Here is a 24,982-nt window from a genome sequence, read left to right on the forward strand (position 1 = left end):
TCAAGATACAGCTCTTTGGTGGTGTTTTTTGACCCATATCCAGGAACTGTTCCCACACCCAGAGAGGAATATCTGCAAGTTCTGGTGCCAGATGTTGATTCAAAAACAAAACCCAGCGAAGCATCTGTACTTTTTTTTCTGATTGTATTAGAAGTACAGTCCACAATAATATATTGTACATTTAAAAATAACTGGCTGAGCGCAGTGGCTCACGCCTGTAATCCCAGCATTTTGGGAGGCCAAGGCAGGCGGATCCCCTGAGGTCAGGAGTTGGAGACCAACCTGGCCAACATGGCAAAACCCCGTCTCCACTAAAAATACAAAAAAAATTAGCCAGACGTGGTGATGGGCACCTGTAATCCCAGCTATTCTGGAGGCTGAGGCAGGAGAATCACTTGAAGCCGGGAGGCGGAGGTTGCAGTGAGCTGAGATCATGCCATTGCACTCCAGCCTGGGGGACAAGAGTGAGACTCCGTCTCAAAAAAACAAAAACAAAAGAACCCTCAAAAAACTAAAAGAGGCCGGGTGTGGTGGCTCATGCCTGTAATCCCAGCACTTGGAGAGGCCGAGGCAGGCAGATCACTGAGGTCAGGAGTTCAAGACCAGCCTGGGTAACATGGTGAAACCTTATCTCCACTAAAAATACAAAAATAGCCGGGCTTGGTGGTGGGTGCCTGTGACCCAAGCTACTCTGGAGGCTGAGGTGGGAGAATCGCTTGAACCCAGGAGGTGGAGATTGCAGTGAGCTGAGATTGCGCCACTGCACTCCAGCCTGGGTGGCAGAGAGAGTATCCGTCTCAAATAAATAAATAAGTAAATAAGAGTTTAATTGGATTGTTCGTAACACAAAGAAAGGGTAAATGTTTGAGGTGATGGATGCCCCATTTACCCTGAAGGGATTATTATGCATTGTGTGCCTCTATCAAAATATCTCATGTACCCTATAAATATATATGCCTGTGTACCCACAAAAATTAAAAATTAAATAAAAAGTTCATTAAAAATAACTTCAAACACTACAGAAATGTTAAAAGTAGAAGTGACCTTTCCGTAGAATGTCATGCCTGTACTTTGGCAGAGAATTTCAATGGAAGCATCCAGAAAACCCTGGCTCGGAATCTGAGCTTGATTATTTCAGTGTTTCAGGTCTCACATGGGGGACAGTCTTGCCACTGTCAAAGGCCATCATGAGAGTTACAGCAGACTTTTGATGAAATTATGTCCACAGTGGTCCCTGGTCCTTTGTGGTTTGAGATATATTCTTTGTCCCCACGCCTGCCCCTTGCTTCAGATCTTCTAGGAATCCAGATACATTAAAGCAAAGTGACGGGACAGCCCTGTCCATTTCCTGATCTGTTGCTGACTGTACCACTGAGCTGCTCTCTCCTACTGAGCCCCGCATGGTTCCTCCTGTTTTCCTGCCCTCTCACTTGCTGGTGTTGGCCTGCTCTGGCTGTTCTGCTTGGGGTTAGGTGAGGATATGGGGCAGAAGGCTTCCAGCCTGGAGCGCCTATGGTGTCCCAAGACAAGGGCCTGCCTCTGGCCTCTGGGTGTGTCCTCCTGCGAGTTTTAGAGAAATCTGGGCAGGCTCAGACTGAATGCCTGCTTCTCCTTGCAGCCTTCTGAAGATTCCCATGACACACACCTGATTTACCTTCAGCTCTTTTACTTGCTGGGTAAGCACAGCCCTGGATTACTTGGCATCTGGAATTAACTGAAGGGTAACACTTTCTTAACCTTATTTGGAAAATGAATAGGAAGGAGACCCCTTCTAACTTCTGGAAGCACAAAAGTGTGTTTATCCTTCAGGAGCATTCTTGGCTGCTGAAAAATCATCATGGCTAGCTTTCACTTTCACGTATTGAGCTAGTAGGTGGTATCAATAGTAGCTAATATCTATTTCATGTTTTTTTGTGTAGGAGGGACCCGGCGTGCAATTTGCATGGATTGTCTCATTTTATCCTCCCAGCAGGTAAAAGAGCTGGGAGGGAGTAAAGGGAGTTGTTAATTTCTGAGAAGGAAGGTGAAACTTAGGAATGTTAAATACCCCTCTTGGTGTACACAGTATGCAATGGAGGCAGGGTGCAAATGTGCTATGGAGATTTCAGAGCCTGGGCTTCCCAGAGGAGGCCTTTGCCCCACAGAATCTTTGCTCCATTTCTCCACTTTGCTGCCTCTATGAATCAATGATTCTGTGTTGTCCATTTTTCCTTTGCAATCTTTTGCCATCTCTTCATTAAAAATGGTCTCCATCATTCTGGCCAAGCACAGTGACTAACATACAATAGGTGTGCAGTAAATGTCTAGTGGATGAATACCCAGTGTGAACATTAATTGAGCACCACTAGCTGCCAAGCAGCCAAGCACCCTATATCTGGGAGATGTAGAATTTAAGGCTGTGTAGTCACTGTCCTCAAGCTGCTCACAGCTTTGTGTAAGACACTCAAGGGAACATGCAAAGCTCAGGGCAGCTCAATTTGGGGCGAGGGTTATGGAGAAAATACAGTCTGCATGCTTTTAGTACATGCAGTTCTGCATCTTGGGGTGCAGTGCTAGAGTGAATGACACAGTAGAGGTGACAGGCTTAGGATTTAAATTTGATAATGTCATGATGCCATGGGAGCACTGGAGAAGGGGCAGCAGTGGATTCAGCTGAGAGTCGCAAGGGGTTAATGAGAAGATTGGGAAAGGCTGCACAGAGGAGGAGAAGGGCTTTGTAGGATGAGTAGAGGTTCACCAAGGGTGGGTAACAGTTAGAGGAACAGCAGGTACAGAAGCCCAGAGGAGAATCAGTGAATGACACATCCACCATGTCCAGAGATCAGGGATGGTTGCAGCTGAAGCTAAAAGTGTAAGAGCTTGGACTGTGGATCTTCAATCCCAGTTCATCTTATTCCCACCCATATGGCTGGTGCTATGGTTTTGTCACCTGTAACACAAGTATGAGACTGGTACCTTCCTAGGAGGGGTGTTGAGAGTCTGAGCCACACTCAAATTCTTGGTGTGCAGTGTCTCTGATCTGAAATGTGCACCGTGAATGTTAGCAGTGGGTATTACCTTTGGCCTGATTGTGAAGCGGGTTTGAGACAGAAGTGAAGCAGTTCAATTTGTTGTGTGATCTTCTTCTTCCCCAAAAGAAGGTTTTCATCCTCCTTAAGGCTTTTGCCCACCCTTCCCTTCCTTCACATCCCTGGTGGGTACCCTTCCCACCTGCAGGAAGCCTACTGATCTTTGAGTTTTGGCCTGCCACCTGGCCCTTCCCTCGCTCTGCAGTCTTGGTTGGCCTCCAGGTGTGTGTGTGTGTGTGTGTGTGTGTGTGTGTGGGTGTGTGGCCCTGGGCTGCACTGTGCCTGCTGGAGCAGGTGCAGTTGCCCTTTCACCATGCGTGCTTCTTTGGATGTGACCCCTTGGGTGCCTGTGTATTTAGAGTGGAGGAACGTCCTCCACTATAATGATGAGAAGTGTCATTGCTAGTTGCACTCAGTTTTCTATGGTGTTTGGGGGAGAAATTGGGGTGCTGGATTTTGGTTTTAACTCTTTCCCACCTTAACCAGTGACTGTGGAAAGTTGCACATCGTCCCCTTCCTCACAGCTGGGGTCTGTTCTTCCTCCGGGTGTTACGGTTTGTGAGAGCCAGGAGGGTACACAGAGGTGGCCTGATTTCTGGAGCCATAGCAAGAAGGGAGAGGTGTGTGTCCTCTCTGTCTCTGTCTCTGTCTCTGTCTCTGACTCTGTCTGTCTCTGTCTCTGTCTCTCTCTCTCTCTCTCTCTTCTTTCTCCCTCTCCCTTTTTCACATGTTGTTTTCTGATTATAAGAGGAATACTTCATCATTAGACATATTTCGAGCCTCCGTTCCTCATCTATGAAATAAGCATAGTAAAGGACTGAAGGATTTAAAGGGATGTGGCCAAGTGTGCAAAGTCATATGTGCTCAATAATTTATTTTCCTTGTTTTCTTTTCCATTTCCTTCTTCTCCTCTAAGGCGCTCCACATCTCCGTGATATAGCGTGTACTCCTTTCCTCATTTTCTTTTCTCTGAGACAAAGGGAAGTTCCTAGTTCTGCTATTTCCTAGTTCAGTGACCTTGGACAAGGCACCCTGGGGAGCCTTAGCTGCTCATATGCACAAGCTTCTAGCAACTGCTTCCAAGGGAAGGGTGGGGAGGAAGGGAGACCCTGAGTGTTTGGACCCCGCCTGTGCTCAGCACAGAATGGAGCTCAGTAAGGGCAGGTCGTGGGCTCCTTCTTCTCCCTTTCAGCAACCATCACTCGTATTCTTTTTTATCTCCAAGGCCTCATGCTGGAAAGAGATTGATTGCTCTCTGAGCAGTAAGTCCTCTGAAACAGGGTTTCTCTGGGGAGTTCTGTGGCACCCCTGCCTTACCTGGGGGACCTGGCAAAGAGGCACCCTCCACCCCCCCTCACCCTCAGCCAGGTTTACTGAACAGAGTTACGGGGTTGGGCCTCCGGATCTGCATTGGAGCAAGTCCACAGGTGGTGCTTAGGCACACTCAGGTTTGAGAGCCACTGACCTAGAGGGGAAGACTGGGAGAAGCCTTTTAAGAGACCAGTACTGTGACTTGCACCATGGAGACACCTGGAAAACATACAGTGATTCACACACACGCCCCAAACAGCAGTGTGTGTGTGTGTGTGTGTGTGTGTGTGTATGTGTGGTTTCACACTTGGTTTGCTATGAATGCTGTAATGCCACCCAGTTCCCACAGAGCTCTGGGGACTCAGGTTCCCCAAGTCAGGGTTCTTTTCTGGAGTGCTATTCTGACAGGTTTTTATTTTTATTTTTTTAATTATTTTATTTTATTTTTATTTTATTAGTATTATTATATCTGACAGGTTTTTAATACAGTGAATTTGTATGTCTCCTGTGTATTTATTTTAGCTGCTCCCTTCTTTCCCCTTCTCTCCCTTTCCTCTCATCTCCTCCCGCTTTCGTCCTTTACCTTTCCCTGGATGATATTAGCATTACCCGTACACTCTTCCCATCTCCTGGCCCCTCCAGTTCTGAAGGGATGGGGACTAAGTGGGATCTGTCCTCTAAGCAGGCGGAGGAGGGAACCATGTCAGCTCCTAGGTGCCCCCAGAGCACCTGCTGCCAGTTTTCCACAACTCCTGTCCTCCGTGGCGCTTGGGTGACAGCAGAGCAGAGCCGATGTGCCTGCTCCTGGTCATGGGCTGTTCGTGCTGTCATCGCTTTCATTTGCCCCATCCCCCCAATTTGGACTTACCCAGAATCCTTGGGCAAGCTAGATGGCTGCCAAAGTTTACTTAGCGAGATGTGCCTGCGTGACTTGAGTAGAGACCTGCTTCTGAGAAAGTCAGAAGTGCATTCCAAAGTCAGGAGCGTGACCTCCCCGGAAGCCCAGCTAATCCAGGTTTTAAAGAGGAGTTGGAACAAAGGTGGTGCTTATGGGATGTATGGAGCTGTGGGATGTGGGAGAGGACAGGTTTAGCAGAGTGGCGTGGTGGAAAGTTTCCTCTCGCCGAGGAGGACAACTCCCCAGCGCCTGAGACAGCGGGAGCTCAGAGCGCCTAGAATGTGCCCAGATTCTAAAGTGAAGCAGGCTGTGGTGTGATGATGGCCCCCGAGGGGACTTGCAGTCTTATGGACCTGGGTTCAAGGCCACCCTCTTCAGCCACACAAACTGGGCAAGGGGCCCGCCCTTTTCACGCTGCTGTTTCTGTAACTTTCAGATATGAGACCTGTCTGTGGGGTTGTGAGGATACATGGGGATTAAGTGGGAAATTAAAAGGGTTTTCTTTGTGACTGGTGACTGATAAATGCCATTTCCTTTCATCCTCCTTATTTTGACATTAGCCCCAACCTCTACCCCGAGGGTCTCTCTCTCTCTCTTCCCAACTTAGATTCCTCTCAGGGGACACATAGACAACCCAGAAAAGCAGCTCTGATCTCTCGTGGAGCTTCCCTGAACTCCACACCGCACATCTACTACTGTTTAGGATAACATTTTGACTTAGTCCTTAAACGGACTATTTCTCATAGTCCTGTTTTGTAAATGAGATTTTAAGCTCTTTGCAGACAGGGACCAGTATAAACTCTTGAGTCTCTGTCAAACTTAGTGAACTTTCTTTCCAGCCTGGGCAACATGATGAAAACCTCTCTCTACAAAAAAAATACAAAAATTAGCAGGGCATGGTGGCTCGCACCCGTAGTCCCAGCTACTCTGGAGGCTGAGGTGGGAGAATTGCTTGAGCCTGGGAGTTTGAGGCTGCAGTGAGCCATGATCACGCCACTGCACTCCAGCCTGGGTGACAGAACCGGACTCTGTCTCAAAAAAACAACAACCCCCCTCCCCCACAAAAAACCTTACTGAACTTTCTTGGAGAACATGCACACTGTAGAACCTTCTGTATTTGGAATCTTCAAGTGCAGGTCCTGCTGTTCTGTAAAGAACTGTCACCTTGAGTCATTGTTTGACGGCTCAGGTCCTTGGCACTTTACCCCTTTGTTCATGATTGATTGACATTTGGACCTTTGCTGACCTTTCCCTGAGGGATTTTGTGGGCATAGTCAAACAAAAGGAAATTGAAAAAAAAAACCCCACAAATTTTGAAGGTCTGTCACTTGGAGAAGAACAGTGTTCATGACTCTTCTTCGTCATTTCAGCATCTTAATCATCTTGAGCCTAAAGATGAAGGAGAGTGGAGGTGAGCCTGATTAAATGGGAGCTTTTCCTATATTGAGGATCTACTAGGTGCAAGGACCTCACTTGGGTTATCTCTAGCCTTCCCCCAACTCTGCAAGGCATTTCACAGATATGGATGCAGGTTCAAAGAACTGAAGCTTAAAGCTTCGCAGATTTGGAAGCCTCAGAGCTAGAATTCTCCCCCTAGCCTGTTTGTCTCTGAAGCGTTGGTTATTGCTTGACATTGCATCCCTCCCTCTTTTTTCCCTCTCTTCCTCTTTCCCTTCCCTGCCACTGTCTGCCTGTCTTCCTGTCTGCCTCTCTTTCTGTCTTAAAATTACTGTTGCTATTCCTTACTGGTCTGGTCTGGTCTAGTTAATTAAAAAGAAGGCTATCGTGAGGTAACCCTGGGATCCTTATTGGCACAGTCATATTCCCATAACTTTTAGGTGCCTGAGTCCTAATGGATCTGTAAGACAGTGCCCATCAGCGAGAAATACCCACAGCCTCCCTGGATGCTGCCCACAGGCATCTTGCAGATGAGGGTGTTTGCCTTCTCACCTGCAAGGGGGTGGGGAGAAGTGGCCAGGGGTGGGCTGTTCTGGGGACGCCTGCCTCCCCACTCCCTGAGCCTAGGGGGAATGATATTATGGCTTCAGGCCACAACTAGACACATTATCTACTCTGACAGGGAGCCAGTCTGGAGAAGGATGTCATGGATGACGTGAAGAAATTACTGAGGGAAAAAGAGCAAGGCGTGAGCCCTATTGGGGCTGTTTTGGTCAACTCCTGGCAGTAGATGATATTGATGCTTTGGAAATCTCTATTTTCCTTGCATTTCCCAGCAAAGTGCCATTCCCATCTCTTTCTTTTAGAAGCTTCTTATCCTATGGCTCTGCCTCCAGTCTTTCTCATCACATAATTCTTCAAAGGCAAGGCAGACTAGTGGTTAAGAACAAAGACCCAGGGCTGGGCGTGGTGGCTCCTGCCTGTAATCCCAGCACTTCGGGAGGCCAAGGCCGGGGTATCAGTTGAGGTCAGGAGTTGGAGGCCAGCTTTGCCAACATGGTGAAACCCTGTCTCTGCTAAAAATACAAAAATTAGCCGGGCGTGGTGGCAGGTGCCTGTAATCCTAGCTACTTGGGAGGCTGAGGCAGGAGAATCACTTGAACCCAGGAGGTGGAGGTTGTAGTGAGCTGAGATCACGCCACTGCACTCCAGCCTGGGTGACAGAGCAAGACTCTATCTCAATTAAACAAAACAAAACAAAACAAACAAACAAAAAAGAACAAAGTCTCCGGAGGCAGTGCCTGGGCTCGTATCCTAGCTCTGTCTCTTGCTGACTCCTGCATGGCTTGGGCATACTTGGGCTTTGCTGTGCACCAGTGTTCTCGTTTCTTAGTGAGTTCGTATCTCACAGCATTGTTGGAGATTACAGGAACACAACCAATGCTCTCAGAACCAGCACTCAGGAAGTGTGGTAATTACATGCTCTTCTGGGCTTCTGGTCATGCCACCTTCGACGGACAATGCGCCAGCACCCACCAGTTTAAGGACCAGTTCCTCCTCTAGGCATTGTGCCCAGCGCACCCTTCTCATGGAGATTTGCTTCTCACTCTGCATCTGCAGGTCTTCGCTGGGTGATCTTGGGCAAGTCACTTTACTTCTCCAGGCCTTACTTCTCAGCTCTTCAGTGAGGACATTGAACGAGATTATTTCCAAGGTTTCTTGTGTGCTGACGTACTGGGGCCTCTCACATTCTATGTGGTCCAACCTTTCCTCCTGTTCCTCAGCTTCTGCCAGCCCGCCAGGGCAACCTGGTTATCAACAAATGTCCTCGCTTATGGACATGTCCTGCTTCTCTGGAAATCTTAGTACAGCCTGAAAGCTCCATGAAGTCAGGATTGTGTCTTTCATGTTTGATATGATTTCTGGCTTCTAGCACTGTGCTAGGAGCTAGCACGTGAACACTGTCTGTGTAGCTGGAATTAATCACCCACTATTCCAGTCAACAATTCCTTTTTTCTTTGAGACGGAGTCTTGCTCTGTCCCCCAGGCTGGAGTGCAGTGGCATGATCTTGGCTCACTGCAACCTCCACTTCCGGGTTCACGCCATTCTCCTGCCTCAGCCTCCTGAGTAGCTGGGACTACAGGCGCTCGCCACCACGCCCGGCTAATTTTTTTTTTTTTGTATTTTTAGTAGAGGTGGGGTTTCACTGTGTTAGCCAGGATGGTCTCGATCTCCTGACCTCATGATCCGCCTGTCTCGGTCTCCCAAAGTGCTGGGATTATAGGCATGAGCCATCGCCCCCGGCCCTTTTTTTTTTTTTTTTTTTTCCGAGATGGAGTCTCACTCTGTCTCCCAGGCTGGAGTGCAGTGGCATGATCACTGCTCATTGCAACTTCCGCCTGCTGGGTTCAAGCAATTATCCTGCCTTAGCCTCCCGAGTAGCTGCGACTATAGGCGTGCACCACCATGACTGGCTAATTTTTTGTACTTTAGTAGAGACGGGGTTTTGCCATGCTGGCCAGGCTGGTCTTGAACTCCTGACCTCGTGATCCACACGCCTCAGCCTCCCAACGTGCTGGGATTACAGGCGTGAGCCACTGCGCTCAGCTTTCCAGTCATTTCTTAAGCGATGTTGAGTTCCCAAGCACTGTGCCGGACACGCATGGGTTGCTGGAGGCTGGCAGAACCCGAATGTCAGTATTCCTGAAGAATGGCTCTAAGCAATGTACCTTGCAGAGCTCAAGCAGGGCTCTGCTGCATCATGCCCATGAAGGTGCCTGCTGGTAGAAGGCTGGTTCTATACTGGCTGCTTGCCTCCTCCTTGTGGAGACCCACATTGTGTCTGGCAAAGTGCAGAAGGAAATCAAGCCCTTAATAACATTAGGGAACTGGACTGGGTTCGGTTTGCATCTCCCGAGTCTGACTCGTGGGAGTAACCACCATAATAGCAGCGCTGTGCTGTTGAGGGTGACTTTGACTATCTGCTTGTGTTGTGAGCCCACTGTGTGCCGGAGCACTCTCTATACATTCAGTCTTGTCCGCAGATGAACTCCAGTGGACACATGTTTCTATTCCTTATTATTATTATTATCATTTGTTTTTCTGAGATAATAATAATAATATTATTATTAATATTATTGTTATTATATTATTATTATTATTATTATTATTATTATTTCAGATGGAGTTTCACTCTTGTCGCCCAGGTTGGAGTGCAGTGGCACAATCACAATCTCAGCTCACTGCAACCTCCGCCTTCTGGGTTCAAGTGATTCTCCTGCCTCAGCCTCCCGAGTAGCTGAGATTACAGGTGCCCGCCACCACACTCAGCTAATTTTTGTATTTTTGGTAGCGATGGAGTTTCAACATGTTAGTTAGGCCGGTCTCGAACTTCTGACCTTAGGTGATCCACTTGCCTTGGCCTCCCAAAGTGCTGGGATCACAGGTGTGAGCCACCACACCCGGCCTATTATTATTATTTTTTGAGACAGGGTCTTACTTTGTCACCTAGGCTGTTGGCTCACTGCAACCTCCACTGACTTCCTGGACTCAAGGAATCCTCTTACCTCAGCCTCCTGAGTAGCTGGGACTACAGGTGCGCCACCACTGCCAGCTAATTTTTGTATTTTTTGTAGAGATATGGTTTCACCATGTTGTCCAGGCTGGTCTCAAACTCCTGGGTTCAAGTGATCTGCCCGCCTCCACCTTCCAAAGTGCTAGGATTACAGGCATGAGCCGCTGTGCCCGGCTTATTCTTTGTTTTATTGAACAGATGAGGAAACACTTTCAATGAGCTTAAGGGATGTGCCCAAGGCCACACGGTTGTGACCACAGCATGAGGATTCACACCTTGGTTCCTGTGGCTCCCATCCCCCCTCCCCTGAATGAGGAATCGGGTGAGTGTGACGGGAGCAGGCACTCGAAGGCTTGGGAATTCCAAAGCAGCTGATCCATGTCATCCCAGCACACGTTAGGGAGGAAGTGAAACGAAGCAAAAATAGAGCCTGTCAGCGGGGGGACAGCTGCCGCTTTCTCTGGGAACAGATCTCCCCGATTTATCTTCCAGGTTAGGAAAGCCCCAGCTCCTGGGGTACCACAGAGAAATAATGTGAGCACAGCCAGAGAAATTGCCACCTCTCCCTTCCTCAGAAGAAGATAAAGGAGACATCGTCTTTTTGGCATCAGTTTTGAAGAAATCTTTTTTTTTTTTTGAGATGGAGTCTCGCTCCTGTTGCCCAGCCTGGAGTGCAATGGCACAATCTCGGCTCACTGCAACCTCCGCCTCCCAGGTTCAAGCGATTCTCCTGACTCAGCCTCCCAGGTAGCTGGGATTACAGGTGCCCGCCACCACGCCCAGCTAATTTTTGTATTTTTAGTAGAGAGGGGGTTTCGCCATGTTGGCCAGTCTGGTCTCGAACTCATGACCTCAGGTGATCCACCTCCTCGGCCTCCCAAAGTGCTGGGATTACAGGCGTGAGCCACCACACCCAGCCAGTTTTGAAGAAATCTTACTTCACAATCCTGAGAGAAAGAGAAATTGAGGCACACTTAGCATGTGAGACTGATTTCTCACTTCTGCTGCTACAACTGCTGCCCCATTGACCGGGTCTCAGAGGTGTTATAATTAACATCCTCTGACTCTTGCTGGTACTAAAATTAACAACATGACTGGTCCCTTCTGCAAGAGAGGGAAAGAGATACACACATGTGCACATACACGCACACACATGCCTGCACACACACACTTGCACGCACACATGCATGCACACACATCACACACACACACACACACACACAGACACATGCGGAGTCCAGAAGGCTCAGAGACAGAGAGAGAGAGAGGAAGGCACAGCCACACACACACTGGGAGACACTTATTATGGCTCCCCCTGCAAACGGTGCTCCCCTCAAAGCTTTAGGACCAGGGACGCCTTCCCTCACTTTCTGTGTTCTGTACCTCATACCCCATTTACCAGCCTGTGCCAACCCTGTATACTTTAAGTCTTCAGTTACCAAAGCATCCATCTGCCCGTCCTATATTGAGGGGGAGTGGATGCGCAGAGGTGGTCTGTTGGTGTTGGGTAGGGAATAGACGCAGCCTGTTTTTCGTTTTTCTTCCAAATGTCTTCGGCAGGGCCTCAGCTAGTGGAAATACCTGGTGGGGAGGGTCAAGAAGGAAATGACAGTGGGGGGAATGGGGAGGGATAGCATTAGGAGATATACCTAATGTTAAATGACGAGTTAATGGGTGTAGCACACAAGCATGGCACATGTATACATATGTAACAAACCTGCACGTTGTGCACATGTACCCTAAAACTTAAAGTATAATAAAAAAAAATAAAATTAAAAAAATAAAATAAAAAAAGAATTCCTATTTTAACTTTGGAAAAAAAGAAAAAAAGAAGGAAATGACAGATTTGGTCCTGACAGCCTGGGAGGCAGAGAGGAGAGAGATGGAGCCAAGAGAATGGGGCTGGGGCCACGTTTTCTTGTGGGGCAATTCCGTGTCACTGGGCCAGAGCATGCTTATTGTGAAGACTTCCCCTCAGTGTCCTCTGGGGAAGGGTCAGCTGTGAGGCAGTGGGGCGTGAGAATACGATGAAACAGGGAAACCTGGAAGCTGCCGATTCCCAGGCCTTGAAGGGGTGTTCTGATGTCTTTGACATTCCAGCAAACATATTTTCACAGGAAAACTCAAAAAATATAAACTCCCTTTTTATAGAAATAATGTGCATGGAGAAAAGTGCACATGTCATATGTGTATCGATAGCTTGACGAATGTTCTCAAACTGAACCTGAGTGTGGAGCCAGCACCTGGATCAATAGAACATTTCCAGCATTTTGGAAGCCCCCTCCCAGTCAGTCACTCAGGAGAACTTTGTCCTGACTTCTAACCACACAGATTAGTTTAACCTGTTTATGTACTTAATCTAAATAACATCATCACACACTCCCCTGTGTCTTGCTTCTTTCACTCAAAATTATGTTTGTGGGATATATTCATGTGGTACGTGCATTTTCAGATCATTCTCACTGGTCGCTAGATTGTGTGCATATTTTAAAAAATCCATTCTACTGTTGATGGGCATTTGAGTAGTTTCCAGTGTTTGGCTGTTATGAATAGAGCTGCTGTGATATCCTTAGACTTGTCTTCTGGTGAACATATGCACACATATCTGTGCATTGATACCACGGAGTGGAGCTGCAGGGTCATAGGGTTTGGGTATATTCAGCATTAGTAAATAGTGCAGAACAGTTTCCCAAAGTGGTTGTTTATCCTTTTTCAGAGTGTCTGTTCACCAGCACGTATGAATTCCAGTTCCACATCAAAGCCAATTATTGGCATTGTGTGGTTTTTAAATTTTAGCCAACCCATTACAGAAAGAGCAAATGAAAGGAATCTAACAGCAAGTAATCAGGAGAGAAAAGAAAATGCTCCCTGAGAAAGCATTATGATTTCATGATACGGGAAATCCCGGTGTACAATGCCACACATTGTGTACTTTTGCAGGCGGAGGGCGAGGTGCAGCCACCTTCTTGTGAGCATCAGGGCAGTCCTTGCCATTGGTCAGGGACCACCACTTGACTGCAGTAATACCCAACAGACCATGTCATAATTCTTCCTCAGGTGACAGAGCTTTAATGGATCCGACCCCAACAGAACAAACTTGGCTTCAGACTTGCCTGTGGGCCTCAGTAAATATTCAACAGACTGTGTCCCCTGTTCACTCCCCTGTCATTAGCTGAGGCTGGTACCATAAATCACAGCTCCCCTTCCTGTTGTAAGTGGCCCCTCTCAGCTGACGGTACTCCAGTCCTGACATTCAGGAGCAGTGCCTCTCCTGGGCTGCTTCCCAGGGCTGGCAGGTCTTGGTGGTCACTTGTAGGAGCCGAGGAGTGAGTGTGTGCAGTCCTGGAGTCACTGCTGTGGGGTGACTTGCAGGAGCCTCTTCCATTTGATGTGAGAATGATAGATCCGTCAAGCTCTTAATATGTGCCCAGCAACATGCTAAGTCCTTTATGTTGTTTATTGCAACCTGTCACAGTCCATTCAGGCTGGTATAACAAACCACCTTAGACTGGTAGCTTGTAAACAACAGAACTTTATTTGTCATGGTTCTGGAGGTGGGGAAGTCCAAGATTAAGGCTCAGACATATTTGGTGTCTGGTGAGGGCCTGTTTCCTGGTTTAGCAATGATGCCTTCTTGTTGGGTCTTTATATGGTGAAAGGATCAAATAAGGTATTTTATACCTCTTTTATAAGGGCACTAAGCCCTCCAGCCTCATGACCGAATCACTTTTCAAAGGCCTCCCCTTTTGAGATCATCACCTTGGCAGTTAAGAGTTCAACGTATGAATTTAGGGGTCGGGGGTGTAGGTAACAAACATTCAAAACATCATACAACCTCACAGTAGTTCTATGAAATGAGTAGATGTTGTTTACCACCATTTTCAGATGAGGAAATTAAGGGTTAAAAACATTTCCCCAGAGTAAGAAACGTAGTAAATTTGGGAGTCTAACTTCAAACTGTAATTTTTAATTACTGTACTTCCTTCTTCTTTTCTCTTAGGGGCTGTTTAGATACTTGAGCTTCCTTTTGAAGCCATCTTCCTCTTGGGTCTAAAAGCTTTCAGGTAGATTTAAATGGGACAAGAAGGCCAGATGCAGTGGCTAACACCTCTAATCCCAGCTATTTGGGAGGCTGAGGCAGGAGAATCACTTGAACCTGGGAGGTGGAAGTTGCAGTGAGCTGAGATGGCACCATTGCACTCCAGCCTGGGCAACAGAGCAAGACTCTGTCTCAAGGAAAAAATAAATAAAATAAATAAATAAATAAATGGGACAAGAGGAAGTGACCTGCAGAGCACATATTGGGTTCAGATGTAATTATCTGCTTTTTCAATGATTTTAAGAAATTAGAACCACTGTTTTTCTCTGGCTCTTTTCATGACTTTTTTCAAATGTTGGTTTTCAGCAGTTCAACTATTATATACTTAGGTGTGATTTAAAAAAATATATATCCTGCATGGGATTTGCTGATATTCTTATATCTATAAATTAATGTCTTTCACTGAATTTAGAACACTTTCATCCCTTCCCACCCCCGATATTGATCTTGCTCCATTCTCTTCTCTCCTTTTGGGACTAAAATTACATGTCTGTTAGGCTTTTTGATATTGTCCTACAGGTCTCTGAGGCTCTCTTCAATTTTTCAAATTTTTTTCTGTTATTCAGATTAAATAATTTCTATTGGCCTCTCCTCAAATTGTACTGACTCTTGGTTCCTCTTCAGTCTGCCGTTAAATGGATCCAATTGATTGTTTCAGATTTTTTTTTTAATTGTAGAATTTCCATTTGGCTCTTTCTTTGCTAAGCTTTCTTATCTTTTTATTTACTAAGAATACATTTTCCTTTGAGTCTTTGAGCATAGTTATAATAGCTGCTTAAAAAACCCTTGTCTGCTAATTCCAGAAACTGGGTCATCTCAGGATCATGGGGACGGTCCCCATAACTATCTTTTTTCTTAAGAATGGATTACATTTCCTGTTTTTGTTTTCTTTTTAGTTGTTTGTTATATTGAGCTATTATAAATTATATCACAGACATTGTGAGTGATACTTGGTAAGGACTGATTCTGTTTTGTTCCTCCAAAGAGTAGTGCTTTTTTGTTTCAGTAGGTAGTTAATTCAGTAATCTAAGACTTCAAATTCTGACTCCCTAGTATTGGGCAGCAATATAAATTGCTGTTTAGTTCTTTTGGCTTTAACTGGGCTACTCCATACAAACTTGGCTCAGGAGTCACTTAGTGACTTAGGGAACATTTGTACACAGAATTTGAACTCCCCTTTTTGGAAACTCTCTTTTTACCAGGATTTCTTCTTTCACTTTCACCTATTGTGTTGCCTTGATCTCTGTCCTGATGTTTCAGTGCAGCAACACCATCTGAGTGTTAGCCACTCACATGTTGCAGAACCGGGCCTACTCTCAGACTAAAATTGACCAAAAGCAGGAACTCACTGGCTTGCTGAATGTCCAGGTCTTGATCACACTCCAGAATGTCCTACTTTTGGTCATCAGGTGCCTAGATTTTTTAGAAATCTTTGTTCTAATTTTTAGAAATATTTGTTCAGAGTTTATAGTTGCTATCTACCAGGGAACTGCTTCAATAGGAACTACTCAACCATTGCCAGAACCTTCTTGAACTTTCTAGAAACACTGTCTTATTTATTTTATTTTATTTTTTAGACAAAATCTTACTCTGTGCTCTGCCACCCAGGCTGGGGTGCAGTGGTGTAATCTTGGTTCACTGCAACCTCCACCTCCCGAGTTCAAGTGATTCTCGTTCCTCAGCCTCCCAGGTAGCTGGGATTACAGGCACCTGCCACCACACCTGGCTAATTGTTTGTATTTTTAGTAGAGACGGGGTTTCACCACGTTGGCCAGTCTGGTCTCAAACTCCTGACTTCAGGCGATCCACCCATCTCAGCCTCCCAAAGTGCTGGGATTTACAGGCATGAGCCACCACGCTTGGCCTAGAAACACTGTCTTATTTAAATAAGAAAGAGTGTCTCTCAGAATGGAAAGAAAACAGCTTTGGAGTCAAACCCAACTTGGATGCAGAATCTCACTCTATCTTGTTTTTTTTTTTTTTTTTTTTTTTTTTTGAGACTGAATCTCACTCTGTCACCTAGGCTAGAGTGCAGTGGCATGATCTTGGCTCACTACAACCTCGGCCTCCTGGGTTCAAGCCATTCTTCTGCCTTAGCCTCCTGAGTAGCTGTGATTACAGGTGTGTGCCACCACGCCTGGCTGATTTTTTGTAATTTTAGTAGAGACGGGGTTTCACCGTGTTAGCCAGGATGATCTCGATCTCCTGACCTCGTGATCCACCCGCCTCGGCCTCCCAAAGTGCTGGGATTACAGGCGTGAGCCACCGCACTGGGCTGGATATGTTTTTTAAGAAGAAAACGTACCTTACTGTTTCCTTCGTGATTTCTTCACTAGCCGCTGCAAGTGTGTGTGGCTCTGTGCATTGTGGGCAGGGTGAGGCAGCTAGCTTGATTTCCATTTTGGGAATGAGTGGTGCCTCCTCATGGAAGACTTCTTAAAACAGGAGATGGGTGCCCTCTGTTATTCTTGTATGGCAGGCAGAATAACGTCCCCCTAAATGTCCACATCCGAATCCCTAGAACCTGCGAATATGTTGCATGTCAAAAGGGACTTTGCAGATGCTAGTAAGGCTAAGGACCCTGAGGTGGACGGATGATTTTGGATCATCTGGGTGAGCCCAATATAATCACATGCGTCCTTAGGAGTGGAAGAGGGAGGCAGAGAGTTATTCAGAGACAGAGATATGGCCACAGAAGCAGAGTCAGAGATGCCTTGGTGTTGTATTTGAAGATGGAGGAAGAAGCCACAGCCAAGGCCTATGAAGCAGCCTTTAGAAGCTTGGAAAAGCAAGGAAACACATTCCCTCTCAGCCACCAGAAAGAAATGCAGCCCTCCCAACAGCCTGATTTTAGCTCAGTGAGACCCATGTCAGACTTCCAGAAATGTAAGATCATAAGTGTGTGCTGTTTTATTTTTTATTTCTTTTTCTGTTTTAAACCACTACGTTTGTAAACATTTCTTTGGCAGTAATCGTTGCTTTTGATGGAAGTTGGAGCAGTGGTCAAGCTCGTGGGCTTTGGAGCCAGTCTGCCAGTCCGCCTTGTTTCAAACCCCTTTTCCTTTCTCTCTTTCTTTCTTCCTTCCTTCCTTCCTTCCTTCCTTCCTTCCTTCCTTCCTTCCTTCCTTCCTTCCTTCCCTCCTTCCTTCCCTCTCTCTCTTTCTTTCTTTCTTCTTTTTTTTTTTGAGATAGAGTCTCATTCTGTGGCCCAGGCTGGAATGCAGTGGTGTGATCTTGGCTCACTGCAACCTCCGTCTCCTTGGTTTAAGCGATTCTCATTCCTCGGCCTCCCAAATAGCTGGAATTACAGGCATGCACCACCACACCCAGCTAATTTTTGTATTTTTAGTAGAGACAGGGTTTCACCATGTTGGCCAGGCTGGTCTTGAATTCCTGGCCTCAAGGGATCCACCAGCCTCGGCATCACAAAGTGCTAGGATTACAGGCGTGAGCCACCGCGCCCAGCCTCAAACCCTTTTCCTGTGATTTTTTTTTTTTTTTTTTAAAGCTGTGTGACCTTGTGGAAGTTGCTTCACTTCTCTGGGCCTCAAATTTCTCATCTCTAAAGTCGGTTAACAATAATCTACAACTCATAGTTTTTTGTGAGGATGAAATGAGGGTTTCATACATGCAGAAAGCCTGGAAGTAAGTTTTAGCTGTGGCCATTCTGGGCAGGAATCCCTCACTAGGTAACTTAGAGCGGCGGATCAGGGCACAGACTTGGGAGACAGACTGTCTAGCTTCAGATTTAGGCTTCTTACTAGTCTGAAGTAGAATGGTTGTTTGTTCCTCCACTGCTTCATCTGGAAAACAGGGGCAGGCATCCCAGGGTGTTTGAGAGATCATATCAGATGGAGAGGCCAGAGTTTTTAGCCGATACATCATAGACATTCCCCAAAGGACAGTTATTGTTATCATTGGGTGGATGGGGAATATTGAGCCTCCAGCCCTAGGCATTGTGGATCAATTTGTTCTTCAGTTATCTTTGGAATAATTTAAATACACTGGATTGGGAAGACAAAGCTATCACCCTCCTGATGGGAGAGTGCTGGGTACCTAGCAGGTGCTCAGTAGTTAGTGAATGAATGAGTAAGAACAGAACAGGTCCTAGGCCCTGCCCTGAAGAGGCTCACAGTGCAGGACAAGGCCTGGAGTCAGGCCAGGGTTTTGTGGTTGTCTTTAAAAAGAAACAAAACAAAGAACTACTTCCTACCAGCTGACCCTAAACCCCTCAGCTCCCTGCAGGGACCTCTCAGCCCTGCAGGGGAGCCCAGGCTATGTGCCAGGCCTGGCCTTGCTGTCAGCTTTCTAAGCCAGTCACAAACATTCTCCTCTCAACTTTATAATGGATGCCCCCCAGCCTCCTCTCCCCTCTCAGGGTGCTCCTGAGGCTATGAGCAGCTGGCAGTTCCCTGTCTGAGAGGTCCTTCGTACCGCAGGAGAGGCAGCTCTCACCTGAAGGCCTCCCTGGACACCGGTCTCAACTTTGTGTGTTACCAGTTATGGAGAATTATTTTTAGTGAGTTACACTCTGTTAGGGCCAAACACAAGGAGGAAAGAGTGACTGAATACTGCTCTGAGTCAGTGACTGTGACAAGACTGTTTTTTTCTTCTTCCCTGTTGCAGGCCTGATCTTTTGGCCAGAAGGAGATTAAAAAGATGCCCCTCAAGATGGCTGTGCCTGTCAGCTGCATGGAGCTTCGTTCAAGTATTTTCTGAGCCTGATGGATTTACAGTGATCTTCAGTGGTCTGGGGAATAACGCTGGTGGAACCATGCACTGGAATGACACACGCCCGGCACATTTCAGGATACTAAAAGTGGTTTTAAGGGAGGCTGTGGCTGAATGCCTCATGGATTCTTACAGCTTGGATGTCCATGGGGGACGAAGGACTGCAGCTGGCTGAGAGGGTTGAGATCTCTGTTTACTTAGATCTCTGCCAACTTCCTTTGGGTCTCCCTATGGAATGTAAGACCCCGACTCTTCCTGGTGAAGCATCTGATGCACGTTCCATCCGGCGCTCAGCTGGGCTTGAGGTGAGGCTGTCCTGGCTGGTCACGGAGGGTTCACTGGGATGTGGCTGGTGTTCTCAACGAGGTGGCATTTAATGAGCACCCTCTGTGTGGTTGGCGTGATGCTGGGTGCCTGGGGGAGACAGATGGAACTAAAGAGGTCCTTCCTGGAAGCCGTTACTGTTCCCTGCCCTGACGTGTGTTATTGTACCTGTCACCATTTTCTGATGTTCCCAGTTTACGTATCTGTCACCATCTACCTCCCTATAAAGTGCCTCTGCTGTTGGTTCTGTGTCCTTAAGACATTGTGTGGCATTTGGCACAGTCTCTCATGCTGCAGAAAGGGTAAATTAAGACAGGATTGTTAATGAATGAAGACATGGGAGATTCAATGGAAAGATATGCATGGGGGGATAATTTCTTGGCTCTGTGCTCAGAGCTAGGAACAACATAAGGCCATATGGCTGGTGCTGTGAGGGTTGTATGTGGGCAGATGCATGTGGAGGCAGACAGGCCTGGGTATGACTCTTTAACACATACACACTGCATGCCTCCAGGCAGACTGATGGATTCCTTTCCCTGCAGTGAAGGGTTAAGTATTATCACACGTCACAGGACTGGAATTGAAGATCGCCAAGTAGACATTGAAATGCTGACCACATGACAGACACTCAGCATGTGGTGGGTGATGTTGGCTGGGGGTAGCTTTTGGGGATGGTGGACATTTCTTGGCCCTGATCTTTCTGAGCAGAGCCAGGGAGGCAGTGCTGGACTCTGACCTGGGCACAGCTGGTTGGCGTGGACAGTTGATTAAAGGTCACAGTTTCCCTGCAGCCCATGGGAAGGCAGAGTGACAAGTCAGTGGCAGATGAGGAAATGGAGTCTCATGCCAGCTGGAGGGAGGGAGCAGCTGGGTTGGCCACAAAGGCCTGTTGCAGTTCTGCAGCTGACAAGTGGAAGGACTGGCCTCTCAGGTCCAGGCCTGGTGGCCTGGGAGGCTGCTAGCTCTGAGCGATGAGTGGTGCCAAGGTGCCTGAAGGAGAGTTGCAGCTCAAACAGCAAGTGGTCCAGCTCTCAGACCACTTGAGGCCACCTGGCATGTGGCGGCCAAGACCACAGTTGGGGCGGGGCCTTGAGTCTGATTTTGATTGGATTCCTAGTTCGGCTCATGCCTGACAGCACTTTCTCAGACAGGCTTCCCTGACCTCCTAAGGTAAATAATGTCCCTCTGGGTGTTACATGCTGTTCTCACCCATAGCTCTTAGATGTGTTCTAATTGTATATTCATATGTGCAATTTACTGGGTTTCCTGTCTTTCTCTCACACTAGAAAGTAATCTTTCTGAGTTGAGGAAATGCATTTGCCTTGCACACAGGCTAGACACATACATAGTAGGCATTTTATTTGTTGCATCACAGTTGCCTTGATCAAATATGGTGACTCTCCGTGGTTTTCTCTTGGTTTCTTTGAAAAGGTCAGACAGAAGGGAAACACTCTTTTCTTGAGTATATATATGACTTAGCCCAGCAATCCCACTAGGAGAGCAATGGTTTATCCATTATACAGTTGAGCGCCTGGAGGCTCTGAGGGGCCATGTACCTTCCCCAAGGTTATTTATCCAGGAGAAGACAGAGCCAGAAGCTGAGAACTGCCTCGTGTTTTATACCAAACAAGGCCCCTTCAGCTGAAGACTTTTCCTTGCGGTCTTGGGAAGGGTGTGTGTGACGGTGAGCTGCAGCAGGTGCTGGGCTGTGCTTGACTGTGGTCACGTAGGGGCAGGCAGAGGAGCCATTTCGGGGGGCTGCTGAGGGTCTGGAGAGAGGCTCACAGTGGTGAGCAAAGAGGTTCTGGGATGGGAGGGGATCAGTTGGGAAAGACAGAGGCAGATACTCCCCACTCCTTTGTGCCTTCCCAGTCCTCTCTCACCCCTTCCTGCCCTCTCCCCACACCCTATCGTGGTGGCAGCTGTGCCTCACTTATCACATGGTCCATAGCTCTGTTTTTTCCCCTTTTATCAGTTACTGCCTAGAACAACCCAATTGTGGTGGTCTGGGTTATCTCCCACTCTTCACAGTAGGGCCAGAGTGGGCTCAGACACCAAAGGACACAGAATGGTTATGGCAATGAATAAGATTCCTTCTCTGTGTCAGCAAGGATGCTGATGTAGTAATAATCTCCATTTATTAAGCCATGCTGTCTACAGGGCACATAGCACATGTTTTTCCATTCAAACCTCAAAACAGAGCTATGAGATGCGCACCATTATGATGATTATCTGTTTTACTGTTTTTTGTTTTGTTTTGTTTTTGTTGTTTTTTTTGAGACTGAGTCTTACTCTATCATCCAGGCTGGAGTGCAGTGGCGCAATCTCGGCTCACTGCAACCTCCACCTCCTTGGTTCAAGTGATTCTTGTGCGTCAGCCTCCCAAGTAGCTGGGACTACAGGCGTGCGCCACCATGCCTGGCTAATTTTTGTTGGCCAGGCTGGTCTTGAACTCCTGACTTCAAGTGATCTGCCTGCCTCGGCCTCCTAAAGAGCTGCGATTACAAGCGTGACCCACCTTGCCCGGTCTGTTTTACTGTTGAAGTAACTGGAGCACCCAGAGGGAAATCAAGTGTCCCTAGAGAATACAAGCAGCATTTGGACAGCCCTGTCTGACTCCAAAGCCACTGCACAACATTGCCTGGAGCTGAGAGATGCACATTCTCCCTTCTTGGCCACTGGTGACTGTGACCTTGGGCAAACTACCTCTGCTTTTTGGGCCTTAGTACATTCATTCATAGAGAAGCTGGCTAATTTCTCTTCTCAGCCTGGAGACTTGAGAGTGAAAGGGGCACTGTATCACTTACTCTGGGATGACAGGTGTATACGAGGATGTAGCTGGGCAAGCCAGGCCTAGTGGCTCGCACACTCATCAGTTAGATGGTGGGTGCTGGTGCTGCTGGTGCATCATGCATACAAGGCTGGCTCTCCCAGTTTTCCCTGGACTTTTGCCTGAACAGTTTGCATTTCTACTCGTGGTGCAGGAGCTTGCTGTTCTGATTTCATGTCACAAGCCTGCTTTCAGCCACTTAGAAGAGCCCTGTTATCCCTGACTGCCGCTACAGCAGTCCCAACCTGTGTTGTTTTCACTTGATGGGCTCCTGGAATTATTGACAGCACACTCTCTAGTCGTACGGGCTGCCCTGCCACCTACACTGACATCCTGGCCAGGTTCCTGGAGATGGCCTGGCATCTTGGACCTGTTCCCCACGGGGTGCCTGGAGCCTCTGATGGTCTACCCAGGGTGGCAATGAGGGAAAGGCTGTGACTTGATCATCTCCAGGGGTTCTTCGGTGAACAGCCCAAGGTTGCTTAACAGCTGGTGTGTATGAATACCTGGAATGTGCCAGTTCACCTTCTAATCTGGCAAGGAGAATGTGTCTCCTCCTTATGCATATGAACAAACTGAGGTTCAGTGAGATCCAGAAAGCTGCCACGGTTACTGATGGAGAGAGCAGAGAAGCTGGTGTTTGCAGTCCCATCTGTCAGCCTTGACACCCCTACTCCTGTCCAGCCAGTGTTTTCCAAAGCGTGCTGATGAGCAATGCAAGATGATTTCATGTTATAGATAAGAATAAAAAAATTGTTTTGTGTTTAACTCAAATTAGAAAAAGGCAACAATTGGTATGTGCGACCTGTGGTTTTGCAGATGATACTGCTTAGGATGTTGGTACTTAAGAAAAGGTCAACTTTTCAAAAATACTATTAGTGACATGTGGACCTAGTCCTCCTGAAGAGGACTACATTGGGGCACCGGTAATTGTTTCTATTTGCGGTACTCTGGCTGTGTGGCTCTGGCCACGCCACTGGAGGCAGTGTCTGAGCCTGTGACTTGAGTAGTAGCTCTGTGTCATGTCTGCTGATTCTCCCCAAATCCTGAAGATTCATGATGAAGTGACTGGCCGGCTTGGTCTGAAGCTAGATTGAAAACAATAAGGATCCCAGAACGATAGCACTTTACAATCCTATAATTTGGCTCAAATTGCCTGCAGTTACTATCTCAGCCCTGCCTGTTATGTTCATTGAGCACCCAAAGTTTTTCAGTCAATTCCTGAGTTAATTATTCTCTGGGATTGAATTATGAAATAGTAAATATTTCCACTATGCAATCAATTGGTGACTTATTCATGTATTCATTTCATTCATTTAGTCTCAATAAATTGAAGATAAGGGCTGAGCACAGTGGCTCACACATGTAATCCCAGCACTTTGGGAGGCCGAGGTGGGCAGATCACCTGAGGTCAGGAGTTCAAGACCAGCCTAACCAACATAGCGAAACCCCATCACTACTAAAAATAGAAAAATTAGCTGGGTGTGGTGGCATGCGCCTGTAATCCCAGCTACTCAGGAGGCTGAGGCAGGAGAATCATTTGAATCTGGGAGGCGGAGGTTGCAGTGAGCCGAGATTGCACCACTGCACTCCAGCCTGCGTGACAAACTGAGACTCCATCTCCCAAATAAATAAATAAATAAATAAAAGATAATATTACCTACCCCATGAGTTTATTATGAGAATTAAATAAGAGAACATATTAAAAGGTTTCATTCAGTGCCAGGCATATAATATGTACTCAGGGAATACTAGTTTTTTTTAAATAAAATTTTAAAATGGGATTAGAAGGTCAAAGCATATAGGCATAAAGGTATAAAAAATATTGAAGATGAGTGAGTTACTAAAATTTAACATTACGTTTAGCTCTGAGCTTCCTAATTAGCACAACATGCTAAGTAGGTTATATTTGTATCTAAAGTAAAGATTGGCAAACTTTTTATATCAAGGGTTAGGTGACAAATGTTTTCAGCTTTGCAGGCCACACAGCTCTGTACTGCTTGTCAGTTCTGCCTTTGTATCTGGAAAGTAGCCATAGATAATATGTAAATGAGTGGGTGTGGCTGTGTGCCAATAAAACTTTATTTACAAGAACTGGCAATAGGCCTTTAGGCTGTAGTTTGTCCTTGGCCTAAATAAAGGAAACATGTTTGTCTTTCAAAGGCAGAAACTCCTCCTGGATCATAAACATTGAAAAAAAAATTGTTACAAGATGCAATATTTCTGTGAGACTTGTTAAGCAGTATATGCGCAGTGCTTTCATTAGGATTTTACAGAAAACTTAGAAGATGGCCTTCACATGGCTAGTTTCCTTACTGTTCATTCAGCAGACATTTACTGAGGGCTTACTATGTCCTAGGCTCTGATATCCATACATGGTAAAACGTAAAGGCATGTGCATTTTGGCAGGGGGTGCTGCATTGACAAGGAGTGGTCTCGGTGACAGTTTTGGGAAGTCAGTTTAGAACAGTATTGGACACACTGTTCCATCCCTGAATTACACACAGGCCTCAATGCTAACTTGAGTGGGCTTTTGGTCCAGCAGGCCTGGGCTCCAGGGGCAGTCACTCAGCGTCCTGCCTCAAGAGTGGTTGTGTCATGAAATCTTGGCCCTCTTTGACTGATAGCTACAATTATTTGAAGAGTGTGGTTTTTAGAACAAAACTAAATCTGTTTTGAAGCTCTGCTGTTTTATACCTGCTGTGTGATCTTGCTCAAGTTTTTATTTTTATTTTTTTCTGTATAAGG

General features: G+C 46.7%; 1 long non-coding RNA gene across 51 annotated transcripts in view, besides 10 other annotated features; it reads left to right on the forward strand.

Annotated features, from left to right (window-relative positions):
• PVT1 (Pvt1 oncogene) overlaps nucleotides 1-24,982 on the forward strand; it is a 306,733-nt gene that overhangs the window by 77,090 nt on the left and 204,661 nt on the right. For 50 of the 51 annotated variants that reach the window (NR_186144.1, NR_186151.1, NR_186156.1 and 47 more), the window contains one exon: nucleotides 18,976-19,385. The exons of the other annotated variant lie outside the window; for it this stretch is intronic. This is a non-coding gene — a long non-coding RNA (Pvt1 oncogene). The remainder of the gene's footprint in view (nucleotides 1-18,975; nucleotides 19,386-24,982) is intronic. 51 annotated transcript variants of the gene reach the window in all.
• Nucleotides 4,986-5,533: an enhancer, noted in NCBI's record as "H3K4me1 hESC enhancer chr8:128888845-128889392 (GRCh37/hg19 assembly coordinates)". NCBI's record gives its function as "activates a minimal SCP1, AML or CMV promoter by ChIP-STARR-seq in naive and primed H9 embryonic stem cells {active_cell/tissue: H9 hESC(naive and primed)}" and the evidence as "EXISTENCE:reporter gene assay evidence [ECO:0000049][PMID:30033119]".
• Nucleotides 8,102-8,269: a silencer, noted in NCBI's record as "fragment chr8:128891961-128892128 (GRCh37/hg19 assembly coordinates)". NCBI's record gives its function as "represses an EF-1alpha promoter that drives an FKBP-Casp9 reporter gene in an ReSE screen in K562 erythroleukemia cells {active_cell/tissue: K562}" and the evidence as "EXISTENCE:reporter gene assay evidence [ECO:0000049][PMID:32094911]".
• Nucleotides 9,224-9,723: an enhancer, noted in NCBI's record as "H3K4me1 hESC enhancer chr8:128893083-128893582 (GRCh37/hg19 assembly coordinates)". NCBI's record gives its function as "activates a minimal SCP1, AML or CMV promoter by ChIP-STARR-seq in naive H9 embryonic stem cells {active_cell/tissue: H9 hESC(naive)}" and the evidence as "EXISTENCE:reporter gene assay evidence [ECO:0000049][PMID:30033119]".
• Nucleotides 15,421-15,470: an enhancer, noted in NCBI's record as "active region_27949". NCBI's record gives its function as "activates an Ori minimal core promoter by ATAC-STARR-seq in GM12878 lymphoblastoid cells {active_cell/tissue: GM12878}" and the evidence as "EXISTENCE:reporter gene assay evidence [ECO:0000049][PMID:35858748]".
• Nucleotides 15,511-15,560: an enhancer, noted in NCBI's record as "active region_27950". NCBI's record gives its function as "activates an Ori minimal core promoter by ATAC-STARR-seq in GM12878 lymphoblastoid cells {active_cell/tissue: GM12878}" and the evidence as "EXISTENCE:reporter gene assay evidence [ECO:0000049][PMID:35858748]".
• Nucleotides 15,591-15,640: an enhancer, noted in NCBI's record as "active region_27951". NCBI's record gives its function as "activates an Ori minimal core promoter by ATAC-STARR-seq in GM12878 lymphoblastoid cells {active_cell/tissue: GM12878}" and the evidence as "EXISTENCE:reporter gene assay evidence [ECO:0000049][PMID:35858748]".
• Nucleotides 18,410-18,704: an enhancer, noted in NCBI's record as "tiled region #1737; HepG2 Activating non-DNase unmatched - State 17:Gen3'". NCBI's record gives its function as "activates a minimal TATA promoter and a strong SV40 promoter by Sharpr-MPRA in HepG2 cells {active_cell/tissue: HepG2}" and the evidence as "EXISTENCE:reporter gene assay evidence [ECO:0000049][PMID:27701403]".
• Nucleotides 18,410-18,704: a silencer, noted in NCBI's record as "tiled region #1737; K562 Repressive DNase unmatched - State 5:Enh". NCBI's record gives its function as "represses a minimal TATA promoter and a strong SV40 promoter by Sharpr-MPRA in K562 cells {active_cell/tissue: K562}" and the evidence as "EXISTENCE:reporter gene assay evidence [ECO:0000049][PMID:27701403]".
• Nucleotides 18,410-18,743: a biological region, named in NCBI's record as "Sharpr-MPRA regulatory region 1737".
• Nucleotides 18,484-18,743: an enhancer, noted in NCBI's record as "active region_27952". NCBI's record gives its function as "activates an Ori minimal core promoter by ATAC-STARR-seq in GM12878 lymphoblastoid cells {active_cell/tissue: GM12878}" and the evidence as "EXISTENCE:reporter gene assay evidence [ECO:0000049][PMID:35858748]".

The sequence above is a fragment of the Homo sapiens genome, chromosome 8 (genome assembly GCF_000001405.40).
Source record: "Homo sapiens chromosome 8, GRCh38.p14 Primary Assembly".
Taxonomy (NCBI): Eukaryota; Metazoa; Chordata; class Mammalia; order Primates; family Hominidae; genus Homo; species Homo sapiens.